Source organism: Homo sapiens, chromosome 8 (genome assembly GCF_000001405.40).
Source record: "Homo sapiens chromosome 8, GRCh38.p14 Primary Assembly".
In the NCBI taxonomy this organism is placed as follows: domain Eukaryota; kingdom Metazoa; phylum Chordata; class Mammalia; order Primates; family Hominidae; genus Homo; species Homo sapiens.
Window position 1 is genome coordinate 15467036 of NC_000008.11, and position 15369 is coordinate 15482404.

At 37.3% G+C, this 15369-nt stretch overlaps 1 protein-coding gene and 1 long non-coding RNA gene across 5 annotated transcripts in view; one reads left to right on the forward strand and one right to left on the reverse strand.

Moving 5' to 3' along the window:
• Positions 1–15369, forward strand: part of TUSC3 (tumor suppressor candidate 3) — a 434904-nt gene that overhangs the window by 49848 nt on the left and 369687 nt on the right. The gene's annotated exons all lie outside the window — the stretch shown is intronic.
• LOC124902060 (uncharacterized) overlaps positions 6621–15369 on the reverse strand; it is a 32974-nt gene continuing 24225 nt past the window's right edge. Inside the window, exons 2-3 of the long non-coding RNA XR_007061173.1 lie at positions 12651–12767; positions 6621–7469 (exon numbers count right to left, since the gene is read on the reverse strand). This is a non-coding gene — a long non-coding RNA (uncharacterized LOC124902060). The remainder of the gene's footprint in view (positions 7470–12650; positions 12768–15369) is intronic.

The window sequence follows — 15369 nt, forward strand, 5'->3', positions numbered from 1 at the left end:
AGCTAAGGACAAATCGAGATAAGTGTACAGTCTTCGCTTACAGTTTAAGAGCTTGGCCTATTTGGGAAGGATTCAGAAAGGAGGCATAAATGTTATTAAAATTACTAAAACCTGTGATTAAAAGACAACACTGTTAGGGTGTTTTAAGGGTAGTCAACAAGTACGTGCACTACGGTGCTATTCTACTTGGGGTTCATTATCTACTGTCATTCAGTGGTATTAAATAGGAAAGTTCTTTAGCCAAAAAAAAAAAAAAAAAAAGTGTGTCTGAGCTTTTCTCTATCTTCTCTCACAATAATCCTCCTACATCTTGAACTCACTAAGTCAAAAACTATATCTGAAACATGGTGTGTGGGAATTTGAGTGAAAAGATTATAAACAGAATCAATTGCAGTAAATTATACATACTGCCTTAGAGTATAATTCTGCTGTGGGCTAGGACACTTCTAATTTCTAAGCCTTGTGATTGTAGTTATTTGCACTAATTGATCTTATTCTGAACTGCCAGTTTCATTGGGAGATGACAATAATATTAGTCCTGAAAGAGTAAAGCCTTTTCTCATTTGCGCCTTGGGAAAACACTGATTTGGTTTCTATTGGAAACTGCTGTCCATGTGGCAAACTCCACCAAAATCAGTAAGTGACTTTTTGCCTTTGAATGTATTCCTTCTTAAAGTCTTTGACCATCTAATGTTCTTGGATATGTAATCAGTCATCTTGAATTACGTTTGTTCTCTGTCTTTCTTTTTATTTATCTCTCTGCTTTTAAGGACACAATATCTTTTCTACGTATGCTTCTAACCTAAAGTTTTTTATCCACAATACCTTTCTCTAATATTCTACTTAGAATTCAACAATATAACTCTCCCATAAAATAAGCATTTAACTTTATGTTATACAAATTTTAAAAACTAGTTAAAATCTGGATTTATTGGCAAGATGGTAGTGTCAGCAAAGGAATGTACTATGAAATAGAAAACAATATATAAATAGGTAAAATACTGATTAGTAATTAAAAAGAGAATGAGTATCAGGTACATCTTAGAGCTCTAAAGTATTTCTGCTAAATGTATTCTTGATGAGTCTCTCCTGAAAAGCAGAATTGAAGAGTATCATATAATTATCATCCTGAGAGAAACGGAATTTCGTTTGGTTGGTTGGTTTTGGTTTTTTCCTGAAGCAAAGAGGACAGATGCCCTGGTGGAATCCCACAGACAGCTGCTTAATGTGAGAGGAAAAAATTGCGTTTTCTAAGAAATAGAAGCCCACTGGGTGTTGAACGGCTAGTCAAGAGTGTTCATTTCACTACTCCAGTCCTCTTTGGACAAGAACACTGAGGCAGATGGATGAAGTGTGAATGGCTTCATGATGGACACATTCAACATAGCCATGAGCCTCTCCCTAAGGGTACCATCTCTGCTTATGCAGAGACATGATTCCTGATCATGGGTCTACCAGTGATTAGATGTCTGTTTCCCTCTTCACTCTGTCAAATTAGCATGAGTTATACATTACTAGATATTCTTTGTTTTTTACCCTTAAATTTAGATCTGATGCCCCCCTCTAATAAACATTTGGGGCTTTAGTAATAATCATCTTGGTTTTAACTCATTCAATTCTTGCCAGACTATAAAACCTTTCTAGGCCAGGCTAGAGACTTCTAGAAAGGAATACAGAAGCAGAGAAAAATCACAACAGATATGAAAACATTCTTTATATTAGAAGTGATGCTTTCAGGAGATTCAAGGGATTCCTCTCTGTCTTGAATATATAAATTAAGAAATATTTACCAAATATCTTTCTGTTTTAGAAATATATTAAAATATTTTCCATGAGACTCTAATAAAAAGGAATAATCTGAGTTAAGAGTGCAGACAGATTAAAAAAAAAAACCCAGGTGCTGACTTAAAAATAATGAGGGAGGCAGATGAAGAGAAGATTTGACCCTGAAGAGAATTAATGAAGGTAAAGGCATGCCACACAAATTCTCTCAGAACGCAGAGGGGAAAGTCAGAATAAAAACGAGAAGGCTGGTAATAAAATTCCCTGGAGATAATGAGCTTCTCAAGCGATAATGAAGCAATTTGAACCACCAAAGCATGATTTATGAAAGAAATCATTGATAAGCTGGATTTCATTAAAATTAAACTTCTTCTCTGTGAAAGACACTGTCTAGAGAATGAGAAGACAAGTCACTGACTAGGAAAAATATTTGCAAAAGACACATCTGATAAAGGACTGTTATCCAAAATATACAAAGAACTCTTTAATTTCAACAATAAGAAATCAAATCCATTAAAAATGGGCCGAAGATCTGAATGGACACATCACCGAAGATATACAGATGGCAAATAAACGTATGAAAATAGGTTCTATATCACATGTCATCATGAAAAATGCAAATTAAGACAAAAGATGCCACTGCAAAGCCATTAGAATGGCCAAAATCCAAATCACTAACACTAAATGCTGGAGAGTATGGAACAACAGAAGTTCTTTCATTGCTGGTGGGAATACAAAAATGGTGCAGGTAATTTGGAGAACTGTTTGGCAGTTTCTTTTAAAATTAAACATATTCTTACCATGTGATTCAACAGTTATGCTCCTTGGTATTTACCCAAATGAATTGAAAACTTACGTCCATAGAAAAACCTGCACACAGATGTTTATAGCAACTGTATTCACAATTTCCAATACTTGGAAGAACCAAGATGTCCTTCAGTGGATGAATGGATAAACTGTGGTACATCCAGATAATGGAATATTTCACAGTGTTAAAAATAAATGAGCTATGAAGCCATGAAAAGACAGGGAAGAAACATAAGTGTATGTTACTAAGTGAAAGAAGCCAGTCTGAAAAGACTCTACACTATATGATTCCAACTATATGACATTCTAGAAAAGGAAAAATTATGAAGACAGTAAAGAGATCAGTGGAGGCTGGGTGAGGTGGCTTACGCCTGTAATCCCAGTACTTTGGAAGGCTAAGGAAGGAAGATCGCTTGAGCCCAGCAGTTCAAGACCAGCCTGGGAAACATAGGAAAACCTCGTCCCTACAAAAAAAATTAACAAAAAAAAAAAGCTAAAAATTAGCCTAGGCATGGTAGTGCGTGCCTGTAGTCCCAGTTACTTGGGAATCTGAGGTGAAAAGATTGCTTGAGCCCAGGAGGCAGAGGTTGCACCACTACACTCCAGCCTGGGCAACAGAGAAAGACCCTGTCTCAAAAAAAAAAAAAAAAAGCATTGGTTGCCAAGGGTTCAAGGAGGGAAAGATGAATAGGTGGAACAAAGAGGTTTTTAGGGCAATACAACTAACGTTCATGATATAATAGTGGATGCCTTCCTTATACATTGTCATTAAGTCCATTAAAAATGTGGGTTAGTAATGTAACCCTAATATAAATTATGGGCTTTGGTTGATAATGACATGTCAATGTAGGCTCATGGATTATAACATATGTACCATTCTGATGTGTGATGTTGATAGTAGAGAAGTTTGAGTATGTGTCGGGACAGGAGGTATATGGGAATTCTTGTACTTTCTGCCCAATTTTTCTATAAACCATGAAGAATAAAGTGTATTTTAAAAGTAGTACACAGCAGGTCCCCAAATAAATTCCTTCCATTCAAAGTCCTTTCATTAAAACAGATGAGAAAAACAATCCCTTCCTGCCAAAGCCACTGTCTCAGTGGAGTTGGCATTTTCTCCCACTGTCTAGGTGGATTTTCTCCAGTTCCTCTGGTTTTCTGTCATGTCCCAAAGATTCAGGAAATTGCTGTGTCTACATGGTCCCAGTGAGTGTGGGTGTGAGTGGCTCTGTGATAGGACGGTGGCCTGGCCAGGGCTGGTTCCTGCCTTGTGCCCTGAGCTGAGGGGACAGGCTGCAGCCACCCTCAACCCTGCAATAAGTGAGTGGGAAAATGAATGAATGAATGAATGAATGAATAAAAATTATGGTCAAAATTTCATCAAGTAGATGATAATCATAAAAATGCAAGACAATAAAGGATGCAGTAAAAAAGTGCTCTGCAAACTCCCTTCTTTGTAATTACCTGTTTACTAACTGTGTGGTCAGAGGAGGTGCAAACATTTCTTTGATTTAATTCCCCAGCACTACAACCTCTGCTCATTGATTCACCAAAACTTGGTAAATCATCGTCTTACTTCCTTTGATTTATCTTTCTTAAATGTCTGTATAGCTCATGTTTATTTCAGTGTTTAGTAGTGGAAGTGATTTCATCTTAAGAAATTTGGTGATGTTCTTGTGACCAGAAATATGCCTTAGAAACTTCACTCTTGTTAATATAAATTATTTTTTGTAAAATTGGTTTTGTTATACATCTTTTCACTTAGAGCTGCAGTCTCCAAGGACCTATTGAGGATGTTAAGTGAAGATTTATTCTATTAATTGTTCTTGGAAGAAGTAAATATCTTAATACTAATAAAACTTTTTCTTCATCTCTAAAATGAGATTTCTTAAATTAACTTAAATTTTTAGGAAGAGAATGAACATTCACATGAAAGACTTTATGAATCATAGTGTTATAAATTTACTTATAACGGAAATTTCTTTCCAGTTCTGATTTTTTTTTTTTTTTGAGATGGAGTTTCGCTGTTTTCACCCAGGCTGGAGAACAATCGTGTGATCTCAGCTCACTGCAACCTCCGCCCTCCAGGTTAAAGCTATTCTCCCGCCTCACCCTCCCAAGTAGCTGGGATTGCAGGTGCTCACCAACACGTCCAGCTAATTTTTGTATTTTAAGTAGAGACAGGGTTTTGCCACGTTGGCCAGGCTGGTCTCGAACTCCTGACCTCAGGTGATCCACCGACCCCTGCCTCCCAAAGTGCTAGGATTACAGGCATGAGCTGCCACACCTGGCCCCCAGTTCTAATGATTTAACATCATAGTTGAATAACATAATTGATGAATTTCAGTGCTTCACCTGGTTATGTGCACAAGAAAAAAAATGATTAAAATAGGCTAAACTGTGTAAGTAACATAACCAAAATATTTCTAATTTTTCAAAAATATATGTGACATAAATAATCCTTAGCTTTGAGAAAACTTTTTAGGTATATTTTGTAATGGGAATATCTGACAGGAATTTTCCAACCTGGAATTGACCTGTTTCAAATATATAGAGAAAGTAAAATACAAGTCTTAACTTAATGCCTAAAACTTAATAAATTTCCCTTTCTATGGTGAGCTTCCAAAATGTCTGTCTCAAATAATTTCTGTAATTTAAAAGCCTGAGAGATTCTGGCAGACTTTCAGACTAGACAGTGGACCACAGAAATGAACATAAAAGAAATTTCTGAAACTTTTCTATCTAGAAAGTTAAAGTAAAATTTCTATATTATAATTAGATAATTTATGCCATTGCTATAAGTAAATCATTTTGCAGGTGACTTTTGAAGGTCTGAGTTTTATCTCTGGCCGTTTCTTCCATTAGAGGGAAAATTATGTTCAAAGCAGTTTAAAAACCTCTCTGGTCACCTCAATTTCTTCTGTAAGTATTCACCAAATCCAAGCTTTTAGTTCAGAGTGGGACATCAAAGTGGGTAAGTTTTTCTTCTGAAACACAGCTCATTTCACTATGTTGAGGATGGTATTAGGGCCATTATAAGAACATAGTTTGCCCAAGACTCCCCAGTCTTGCACTAGAAACCAGGTTAATTATAAATGTTTTATTTCATATGGTGCCGATAATTTACATTTTACTTGTGACAAGATCAAATCCATTATGGTGTAGAAATATTTTCAAATATTTTATGCCATTAAATGGCAAATGCTTTGTGGACATAAAGAGAATGACTATGTTTATGGTGGAATATACTGACTGATCATCTCCACAGCTCCACATACAGAAGTTGATAATATCTTGGTCATTTTACAGCTAAGTAAATAGACTCTCAGTGAGGTTATGCACCCTGCCTAAAGTTTTCTAACCAGCAAATTATAGAAGTAGGATTCAAAGCCTAACCCAGAATCCTTAACAATATATGCTGCCTTCATGAAGTTGGATGGAAAATATCTCAACTTGGGCCTGTGTTTCTCATTCTTTTTAGTTTCCCCAAATAAGTGCTAATATAGTATGTGCTCAGCAAAAGAATATTAACTTATTTCTGACTTAGCACCCATTTTCACCATGGTGAGTTGTCAATATTATATTTGGAAGATGTGGTATTTGCAAGCTTTCTAGCATAACTGGTAAATAATTAAAGTATTATATGATTATTATAAGGGGTACAACCTTGTGTGTTTACAACACTGCAACAAAAAAATTTCAATTCTTCTGAAAGGAAATGTTTCATCCCATACCCTGTCCTTGCTAGTAGAATACATGTCACTTTCCTATGAAATACTATAGAAAAAACTTGGCTTTATCTGAATTTGCTCTTCAACTTGAAGTCTTGTTCCATTGTCACTCAAAGCATTGGTTTGCAGTTACATGTTCATAAAGTATTGGGGGAACCCACCCCCACTATTTCAACGTAGGTTCTATTTTCCATAAGTGTCGGCTGGCTGAGAAATGAAGAGAAAGAGTACAAAGAGAGGAATTTTACAGCTGGGACTCCGGGGGTGACATCATATATCGGCAGGACCGTGCTACCCACCTGAGCCGCAAAACCAGCAAGTTTTATTAAGGACTTCAAAATGGGAGGGGGTGCAAGTACAGGGAGTGGGTCACAAGATCACATGCTTCAAAGGGCAAAAAGCAGAACAAAGATCACATGCTTCTGAGGAAACAGGACAAGGCAAAACAGAACTACTGATAAGGGTCTGTGTTCAGCTGTGCACATATTGTCTTGATAAACATCTTAAACAACAGAAAACAGGGTTTGAGAGCAGAGAACCAATCTGATGTCAAATTTACCAGGGCGAGGTTTTTCTCCAACCTAGTAAGCCTGAGGGTACTGCAGGAGACCAGGGCGTATTTTGGTCCTTATCTCAACCACTTAAGACCGGCACTCCCAGAGCAACTGTTTATAGACCTCCCGCCAGGAATGCATTCTTCCCCACGGTATTAATTATTAATACTCCTTGCTAGGAAAAGAATTTATCAATATCTTCCCTACTTACACGTCCATTTATAGGCTGTCTGCACGAAGAAAAATATGGCTCTGTTTTGCCCGACCTCACAGGCAGTCAGACCTTATGGTTGTCTTCCCTTGTTCCCTGAAAATCGCTGTTATTCTGTTCTTTTTCAAGGTGAACTGATTTCATATTGTTCAAACACACATGTTTTACAATCAATTTGTACAGTTAACACAATTATCACAGTGGTCCTGAGGTGATGTACATCCTCAGCTTACAAAGATAACAGGATTAAGAGATTAAATTAAGACAGGTGTAAGAAATTATAAGAGTATTATTTGGAAACTGGTGAATGTCCATGAAATCTTCACAATTTATGTTCCTCTGCTGCAGCTCCAGTTGGTCCCTCCGTTCAGAGTCCCTGACTTCCTGCAACAATAAAGTAGATTGCTGACACAGTAATTAAATCTCACTAGGTGTAGCAAATGGAATGGGTATAAGAAAAGCCACATGCATCCTGGAATTTACATTATTGAGAAAATTCAGTAAAGACAATGCATCATTTTACAGTTGGGGGATTTGGATCACACTTTTTAACAAGTTAATACGTATATTTGTTTTCTCTTAAAAAAACTTAAATTTGAATGTCCAAAGAAATAAAAGAATACATTACAAAAATAAGTGAAATAGCCAGGAAATATTGAAAGTTTAGAAGTTGGTGTTTATTTCACAGTCCCACTTCTCACATTGCTCCTTCATATCCACACACAACCCATCCCAACCCTGACCGTCTGTACTAGCCTCCTAACAACCAGCATTATCATAGTATTTAAATTACTTGGCTAATTAAAGCAATTTCTTATTTATATTGAAGTCATGTCCCTTCTGTGACACTTGCAGATGAAAAGATTCATTTCCTTTTTTTTGATATTACCTTTCCAAATGTTTTGACGATGGCCAATTGCTATAATTCAACTACAATATTTATAGGCGCCCCCTTTATACACAGTTTGCTGCTACATGATAATAACAGCTAATATTATTGAGCAGTTATTATGCTCTGAGGCACCATGCTACACCTAAAGTCTTAAACTATCCTATTTAGTCGTCAACATTCCAAAGAGGTATATATGGTTATTAAATCCATTTTTTTGATGATCCTAGAGACATAGAGAAACTTGCCTGAAGTTATAGAAGTGGCAAAGGACAGAGATAACACCAGAGCCCAAATTAGCCTGTCTCAGGGATAGTGTTAATTTTCTACACTGCATCCCTATCCCCTTTGTGTGATGCTTATACAGTTAGGGCAGTATTAGAGATCTTTTTAAGTAGTCTCATTTTTAGATCCAGCTAATTATTACCAGTATTATTCTTCCCATCTTTCAGTTTTCTGTTTATCTCTCAGTCTCTTAGCCAAATTTCCAAAGAGATTTTTAAATTCCCCTAGATAAACATTGAGATCAGAAATTGTTTAACCCTGTACAGATGCTGTCACTTCTATAGAGTTGAAAGAAAAAGTATAAGTAAATCAACTGGAAAACTGGAGCTCTAGAATAGTTTGGGATATATGCCATTACAGTAGCTGTTTTTTACATAATCATTTTGGTTTTACATGAAGATTATTGGCTTAAGTGTGTTGTTGTCTTAGTTTAAATTGTACACATTAACATAAATACAGAGTAAAGGGAAGGAACTAGTTTGCATTTTATAAAAGTACTTGGCATTAATAGGATGTAGGCACTCTGAAAGTCTAGATGATATAGTTGCACTAATTCTCTTCCTCTGATAGATTTAAGTGATTCCAGAATATATTTCTTTCAAATTAGATTGTTCCAACAAGAATAACTCAGTATGATGTACATTTAGAGCTCAATAGAACAGGACTTCTGGAATTTTAACAACATAATGAGGGTCTTCTTTTTGGCTTTCTGTACATCAAGCTTTGAAAGATATCTTTAAAATTATTCCTTGTTTGCTCCTACTTAGAAATTTCATTCTGAATAACGTGAACTTTTTTAACCAATAAAGTGCAGCCTGTACCCAAAGAATAACTAATTGTGTAATATTTTCAAATAGGTTTTATGCTGTTATGTAAGAGAAGAATCCGTTTAAAGAATTTTTAAAACCAAGTAATGTCTAATCCAATGTGAACCCTGAGTAGGATGAAAAAATAGCTACACGAATTCATCATAAATACATTTAATCACCCAGTATGTATGTCTTTTTTCTTAATGTGTTCTATTCCTCTGCGTTCTATTATACTTTATCCTTTTTGTATAGTTCAGAGGTTTAAAGGATGTGCTGACTTTAACATACTTTTGGTCTTTTTATTTATCAACTAATGTAATTTTTTCTAAGAACATAGTAGCTACATTACCAAAGTCAGTAAATTCTCAGATATTAAGGTTTAAGAGAGGGCTCACTTATATTTCTTAAACGTGATTTACAAAGGAATTTATTCTACATCGTGCTCAAGAATTAGAATATTTCAATTCTGTTACCAGGGGTGGGTGTCCAGCTTCTTGGTGTTTTGAACAAAGAATTGGACCAAATGCACAAACAAAGCTGGGAAAGAATGAAGCAACAAAAGCAGAGATTTATTGAAAACAAAAGTACCCTCCACAGGGTGGGAGCAGGCCCGAGCATAGGGGCTCAAGAGCCTGGTTACAGAATTTTCTGGGGTTTAAATACCCTCTAGAGGTTTCCTATTGGCCACTTGGTGTACACCCCATGCAAATGAAGTAGTGGCCCACCATCAGTCTGATTGTTGGCAGAAAGTTTTTCACAACCAATGACAGGCTGAAGTGAAGTTACAAAGGTTACACCCTATGCAAACATCTGATTTGTTGTGGAAGGCAGCCAATCAGAGGCTAAAGTGAAGTTACAAAGTTACACTTCTATGCACACGAAGAGTTGGATTGCAATCAATGTGATTGGTTGTGGAAAGCAACCCATCAGAGGTACTTACGATTTTCCATCTGACACTCATCAAAAGAAAGGGTGGGTTGCAAAGGAAGTAGTCTTCAGTCCTTTTGTTACTTAGGTGTGGAAAGTTGGGGAGTTTCTTTTGATTTAGTTCTGGGAAGTCAGCATGAATCGACCTTAGGTTCCCTGACTCCAGACCCTATTCTCCTGCCTCAATTCCATTGACCAAATTCCATTTAGTTGTCTATGAGGTTAAATGGTGTACCTTTATGTCCATTTCTTTTTTACAGTTTTCTAGGATAGAGTCTCAAGAAACTTTGCCTATAACCTAATATCAAACACTTAGTGTAGAGATAGTTAATACTGCTAATAATTACTTGCAATCAACTAACTAGGATAATTGCCTCACTTTTCACATTGTACAGGTATAGGTTATAAAATATAATTATAGTGTGCTCACGCCTGTAATCCCAGCACTTTGGGAGGCTGAGGCAGGCAGATCACGAGGTCAGGAGATTGAGACCATCCTGGCTAACATGGTGAAATCCCGTCTCTACTAAAAATACAAAAAATTAGCCAAGTGAGGTGGCGGGTGGCTGTAGTCCCAGCTACTTGGGAGGCTGAGGTAGGAGAATGGCGTGAACCAGGGAGGCAGAGCTTTCAGTGAGCCAAGATTGTGTACTGCACTCCAGCCTGGGCAACAGAGTGAGACTCTGTCTCAAAAAACAAATAATAATAATTATAGTGAGAAATATATTTGTGTATACACATATAGTGTTTTCATATAAGCTGTCAAAGAATTCTACATGTGATGGTATTGAATAGATTATGTCCTTGCTTTCCTGCTGTTTTTTTCTTGCTTTCCTCTTTCTTGACTATTTTCCAACTAGGCTCCATAACACTACACAAACCAGTAAAAGATCTATAGAAATTTTCTTTTTTAAAAATTTAATTTAATTAAGTAATTTTATGTTTTTGACACAGTCTCGTTCTGTTGCCCAGGCTAGAGTGCAGTGGCACGATCTTGGCTCACTGCAAACTCTGCCTCCCAGGTTCAAGCGATTCTCCTGCCTCAGCCTCTTGATTAGCTGGATTACAGACATGCACCACCATGCCCAGCTAACTTTTGTATTTTTAGTAGAGACGGGGTTTCTACTAAAAGACCATGTGGGCCAGGCTGGTCTCAAAGTCCGGGCCTCAAGTCATACACCTGCCTCAGCCTCCCAAAGTGCTGGGATGACAGGGGTGAGTTACCATGCCTGGCCTTTTTAAAATTTTATTCTTTTTTAAGTTCTGGGATACATGTACAGGATGTGCAGGGTTTTTACATAAGTATACGTGTGCCATGGTAGTTTGCTGCCCCATCAGCCCATCATCTAGCTACTAAGGCTCACATGCATTAGCTATTTATCCTGGTGCTCTCTCTCCCCCAACTCCCGCCAAGAGGCCCCAATGTGTGTTGTTCGCCTCTGTGTGTTCATGTGTTCTCATTGTTGAACTCCCACTCATAAGTGAGAACATGCAATGTTTGGTTTTCTGTTCCTGTGTTAGTTTGCTGAGGACAATGGCTTCCAGCACCATCCATGTCCCTGAAAAGGACATGATCTCATTCCTTTTTATGGCTGCATAGTATTCCATGATATATATATCCCTACCACATTTTCTTTATCCAGGCTATTACAGATGGGTATTTGTGTTGGTTCTATGTCTTTGCTATTGTGAATAGTGCTGCAAAGAACATATGTGTGCATGTATCTTTATAACAGAATGATTTATACTCCTTTGGGTATATACCTAGTAATGGGATTCATGGGTAAAATGGTATTTCTGTTTCTAGGTCTTTGAGGAATTGCCACACTGTCTTCCACAGTGGTAGAACTAATTTACATTCCCACCGATAGTGTAAAAGCATTCCTATTTCTCCACAGCCTCGCCAGCAACTGTTGTTTCTTGACTTTTTAATAACCATCATTGTGACTGGCATGAGATGCTATCTCATTTTGGTTTTGATTTGCATTTCTCTAATAATTAGTGATGTTGAACTTTTGTTCATATGTTTGTTGGCCTCATAAATGTCTTCTTCTGAGAAGTATGTGTTCATGTCCTTTGCCTGCTTTTTAATGGGGTTGTTTGATTTTTTTCTTGTATATTTGTTTAAGTTCTTTGTAGATTTTGGGTATTAGACCTTTGTCAGATGGGTAGATTGCAAAAATTTTCTCCCATTCTGTAGGTTGTCTGTTTACTCTGATGATAGTTTCTTTTGCTGTGAAGAAGCTCTCTAGTTTAATTAGATCCCATTTGTCAATTTTTGCTTTTGTTGTAATTGCTTTTGATGTTTTTGTCATGATATTTTTGCCCGTGCCTATGTTCCAAATGGTATTGCCTAGATTTTCTTCTAGGGTTTTTATAGTTTTGGGTTTTACATTTCAGCTTTTAATCCATCTTGAGTTAATTTTTGTGTAAGATGAAAGGAAGGGTTTGAGTTTCAATTTTCTGTATATGGCTAGCCAGTTTTCACAGCACCATATATTAGTTAAGGAATCCTTTTCCCGTTGCTTATTTTTGTAAGGTTTGTCAAAGATCAGATGGTTGTAGATATGTGTTCTTATTTCTCAGATGTCTATTCTGTTCCATTGGTCTCTGTGTCTGTTTTGTACCAGTACCATGCTGTTTTGGTTACTATACCTTGTAGTATAATTTGAAGTCAGACAGCATAATGCCTCCAGCTTTGTTCTTTTTGCTTAGGATCATCTTGGCTATATTGGCTCTTTTTCAACATAGTTTTGGAAGTTCTGGCCAGGCCTATCATGCAAGAGAAAGAAATAAAGCGTATTCAAATAAGAAGAGAGGAAGTCAAACTGTCTCTGTTTGCAGATGATATGGTCCTATATGTGGAAAACACCATAGTCTCAGCCTAAAAGCTTCTAAAGCTGATGAGCAACTTCAGCAAAGTCTCAGGATACAAAATCAGTGCCCAGAAATCACAAGCATTCCATACACTAGCAATAGACAAGCAGAGAGCCAAATCATGAATGAATGCCCATTTACAATTGCTACAAAGAGAATACAATACCTAGGAATACAGCTAACAAGGAAAGTGAAGGACCTCTTCAAAGAGAACTAGGAAAGTAAAGGACCTATTCAAGGAGAACTACACGCCACTGCTCAAGGAAATAGAAGAGGACACAAAGAAATAGAAAAACTTGCCATGCTCAAGGATAGGAAGAATCAACAACATAAAAATGCCCATATTGCCCAAAGTAATTTGTAGATCATATGCTATTCCCATTTAACTACCACTGACATTCTTCACATAATTAGAAAAACCTACTCTGAAATCCACATGGAACCATAAACATTTTCATGAACATATGCTATACTTGACTTTTCCTGGTTGGCTAGGATTGCCATGAAAAAATACCATAGATTTAGTGGTTTAAACAACAGATATGTACTTTCTCACAGGCCAGAAGTCCTACATCAAGTACAACTTCTAGTTGAGTAGAAATGTTAATAGCAGGAACTCTTGCCTCATGTCTGATTTGATTCTTTCTTAATTTGTGATTTTTTATTGTAAAAATTATATAGCCATGCCATGGACATGTGAAATAAAATTTCTACTTGAGGCTTCCCTCCTTGGCTTGCAGATGGCTGCCTCTTGTTTCCTCTTCACAGTCCCTCCCTGCACCTGCATCCTTGGTGTCTCTCTGAATGTCCTAACCTCCTCCTCTTAAAAGGACACTGGTCAGATCAGATGAGAGCTATTAATATAACCTCATTTAACCTATTACCTATTTAAGTCTCTATCTCCAAATATAATTACATTCTAAGGTACTGGGAGCTAAGACTTCAATATACGAATTTTGAGGTGATACAATTCAGTCTATGGTATGATTGGAATGTGTTCCCCAAATAGCATGGATTGGAAACTTAATCACCTTTGCAACAGTATTAAGAAGTGGGGCCTTCAGGCAAGGTGGCTCACGCCTGTAATTCCAGCACTTTGGGAGGCCAAGGTGGGCAGATCATTTGAGGTCAGGAGTTCGAGACCAGCCTGACCAACGTGGAGAAACCCTGTCTCTACTAAAAAATACAAAAATATCCCAGTGTGGTGGTGCATGACTGTAATCCCAGCTACTTGGGAGGCTGAGGCAGGAGAACTGCTTGAACCTGGAAGCAGAGGCTGTGGTGAGCCGAGATGGCACCATTGCACTACAACCTGAGCAGCAAGAGTGAAACTCCATCTCAAAAAAAAAAAAAAAAAAAAAGTGGGGTCTTTAAGAGGTGATTAGGCCATGAAGGCTCTGCCGTCATCAATGGATTAATGCCATTATTGAGGAGGTGGATTCATTATTGAGGTAGCAGCTTCCTTATTAAAGGACAAGTTCAGACCCCTCTTGTTCCCTCTTTTGCTCTTTCTTGGCTTTTCCTTCATGGGATGATGTGTCACAAGAAGGCCCTCACCAAATGCCAGTTCCTCAATCTTGCACCTCTCAGCCTCAAGAACCATGATCCAATAAATTTCTGTTCATTTTCTCAGCATTCCACAGAGGTATTGCAGGTTTTGTTCCAGACCACCGCAATAAAGCAGGTATCACAGTAAAGCAGGTCACATGAAGCTTTTGGTTTCCAGTGCATAAAAAAGTTAAGTTACAATGTACTTTAGTCTGTTAAGTGTGCAATAGCATTATGGCTGAAAAACAATGTACATACCTTAATTTTAAAACACTTTATTACTAAAAAAAAATGCTAACAATTACGTGAGCCTTCAGCAAATCATAATCTTTTTGCCGGCGGAGGGTCTGGCCTTGATGTTAATGGATGCTGACTGATCAGGGTAGTGGTTGCTAAAACTTGGGGTGGCTGTGGCAAATTCTGAAAATGACACAACAATGAAGTTTGCTCCATTGATTGACTCTCATGAAAGACTTCTCCACAGCATGTGATGCTATTTGATACCATTTTACCACTTTGAAAATCGGAGTCAATCTTCTCCAATCCAGCTGCTTCTTTATTAACTAAGTTTATGTATACTTGAAATCATTTGTTGTCATCTCAACAATGTTCATAGCTTCTTCACCAGGAGTATATTCCATCTTAAGAAATCACTTTCTTTGTTCATCCCTCGGAAACAACTCCTTATCTGTTTAAGTTTTACCATGAGATTGCAGCAACTCAGTCACATCTCAGGCTCCACTTCTAGTTCTAGTTTTCTTGCTATTTCCACCACAATTCCAGTTAAACTTCCTCCACTGAAGTCTTGAGCCCCTCAATGTCATGTGTGAGGGTTGGAATCAACTTCTTTCAAACTCCTGTTAATACTATTGTGATTTCCTTTCATGAATCACAAAGTTCTCGTGGCAGAGAATGGTGAGTCTCTCCTAGAAGGTTTTCAATATACTTT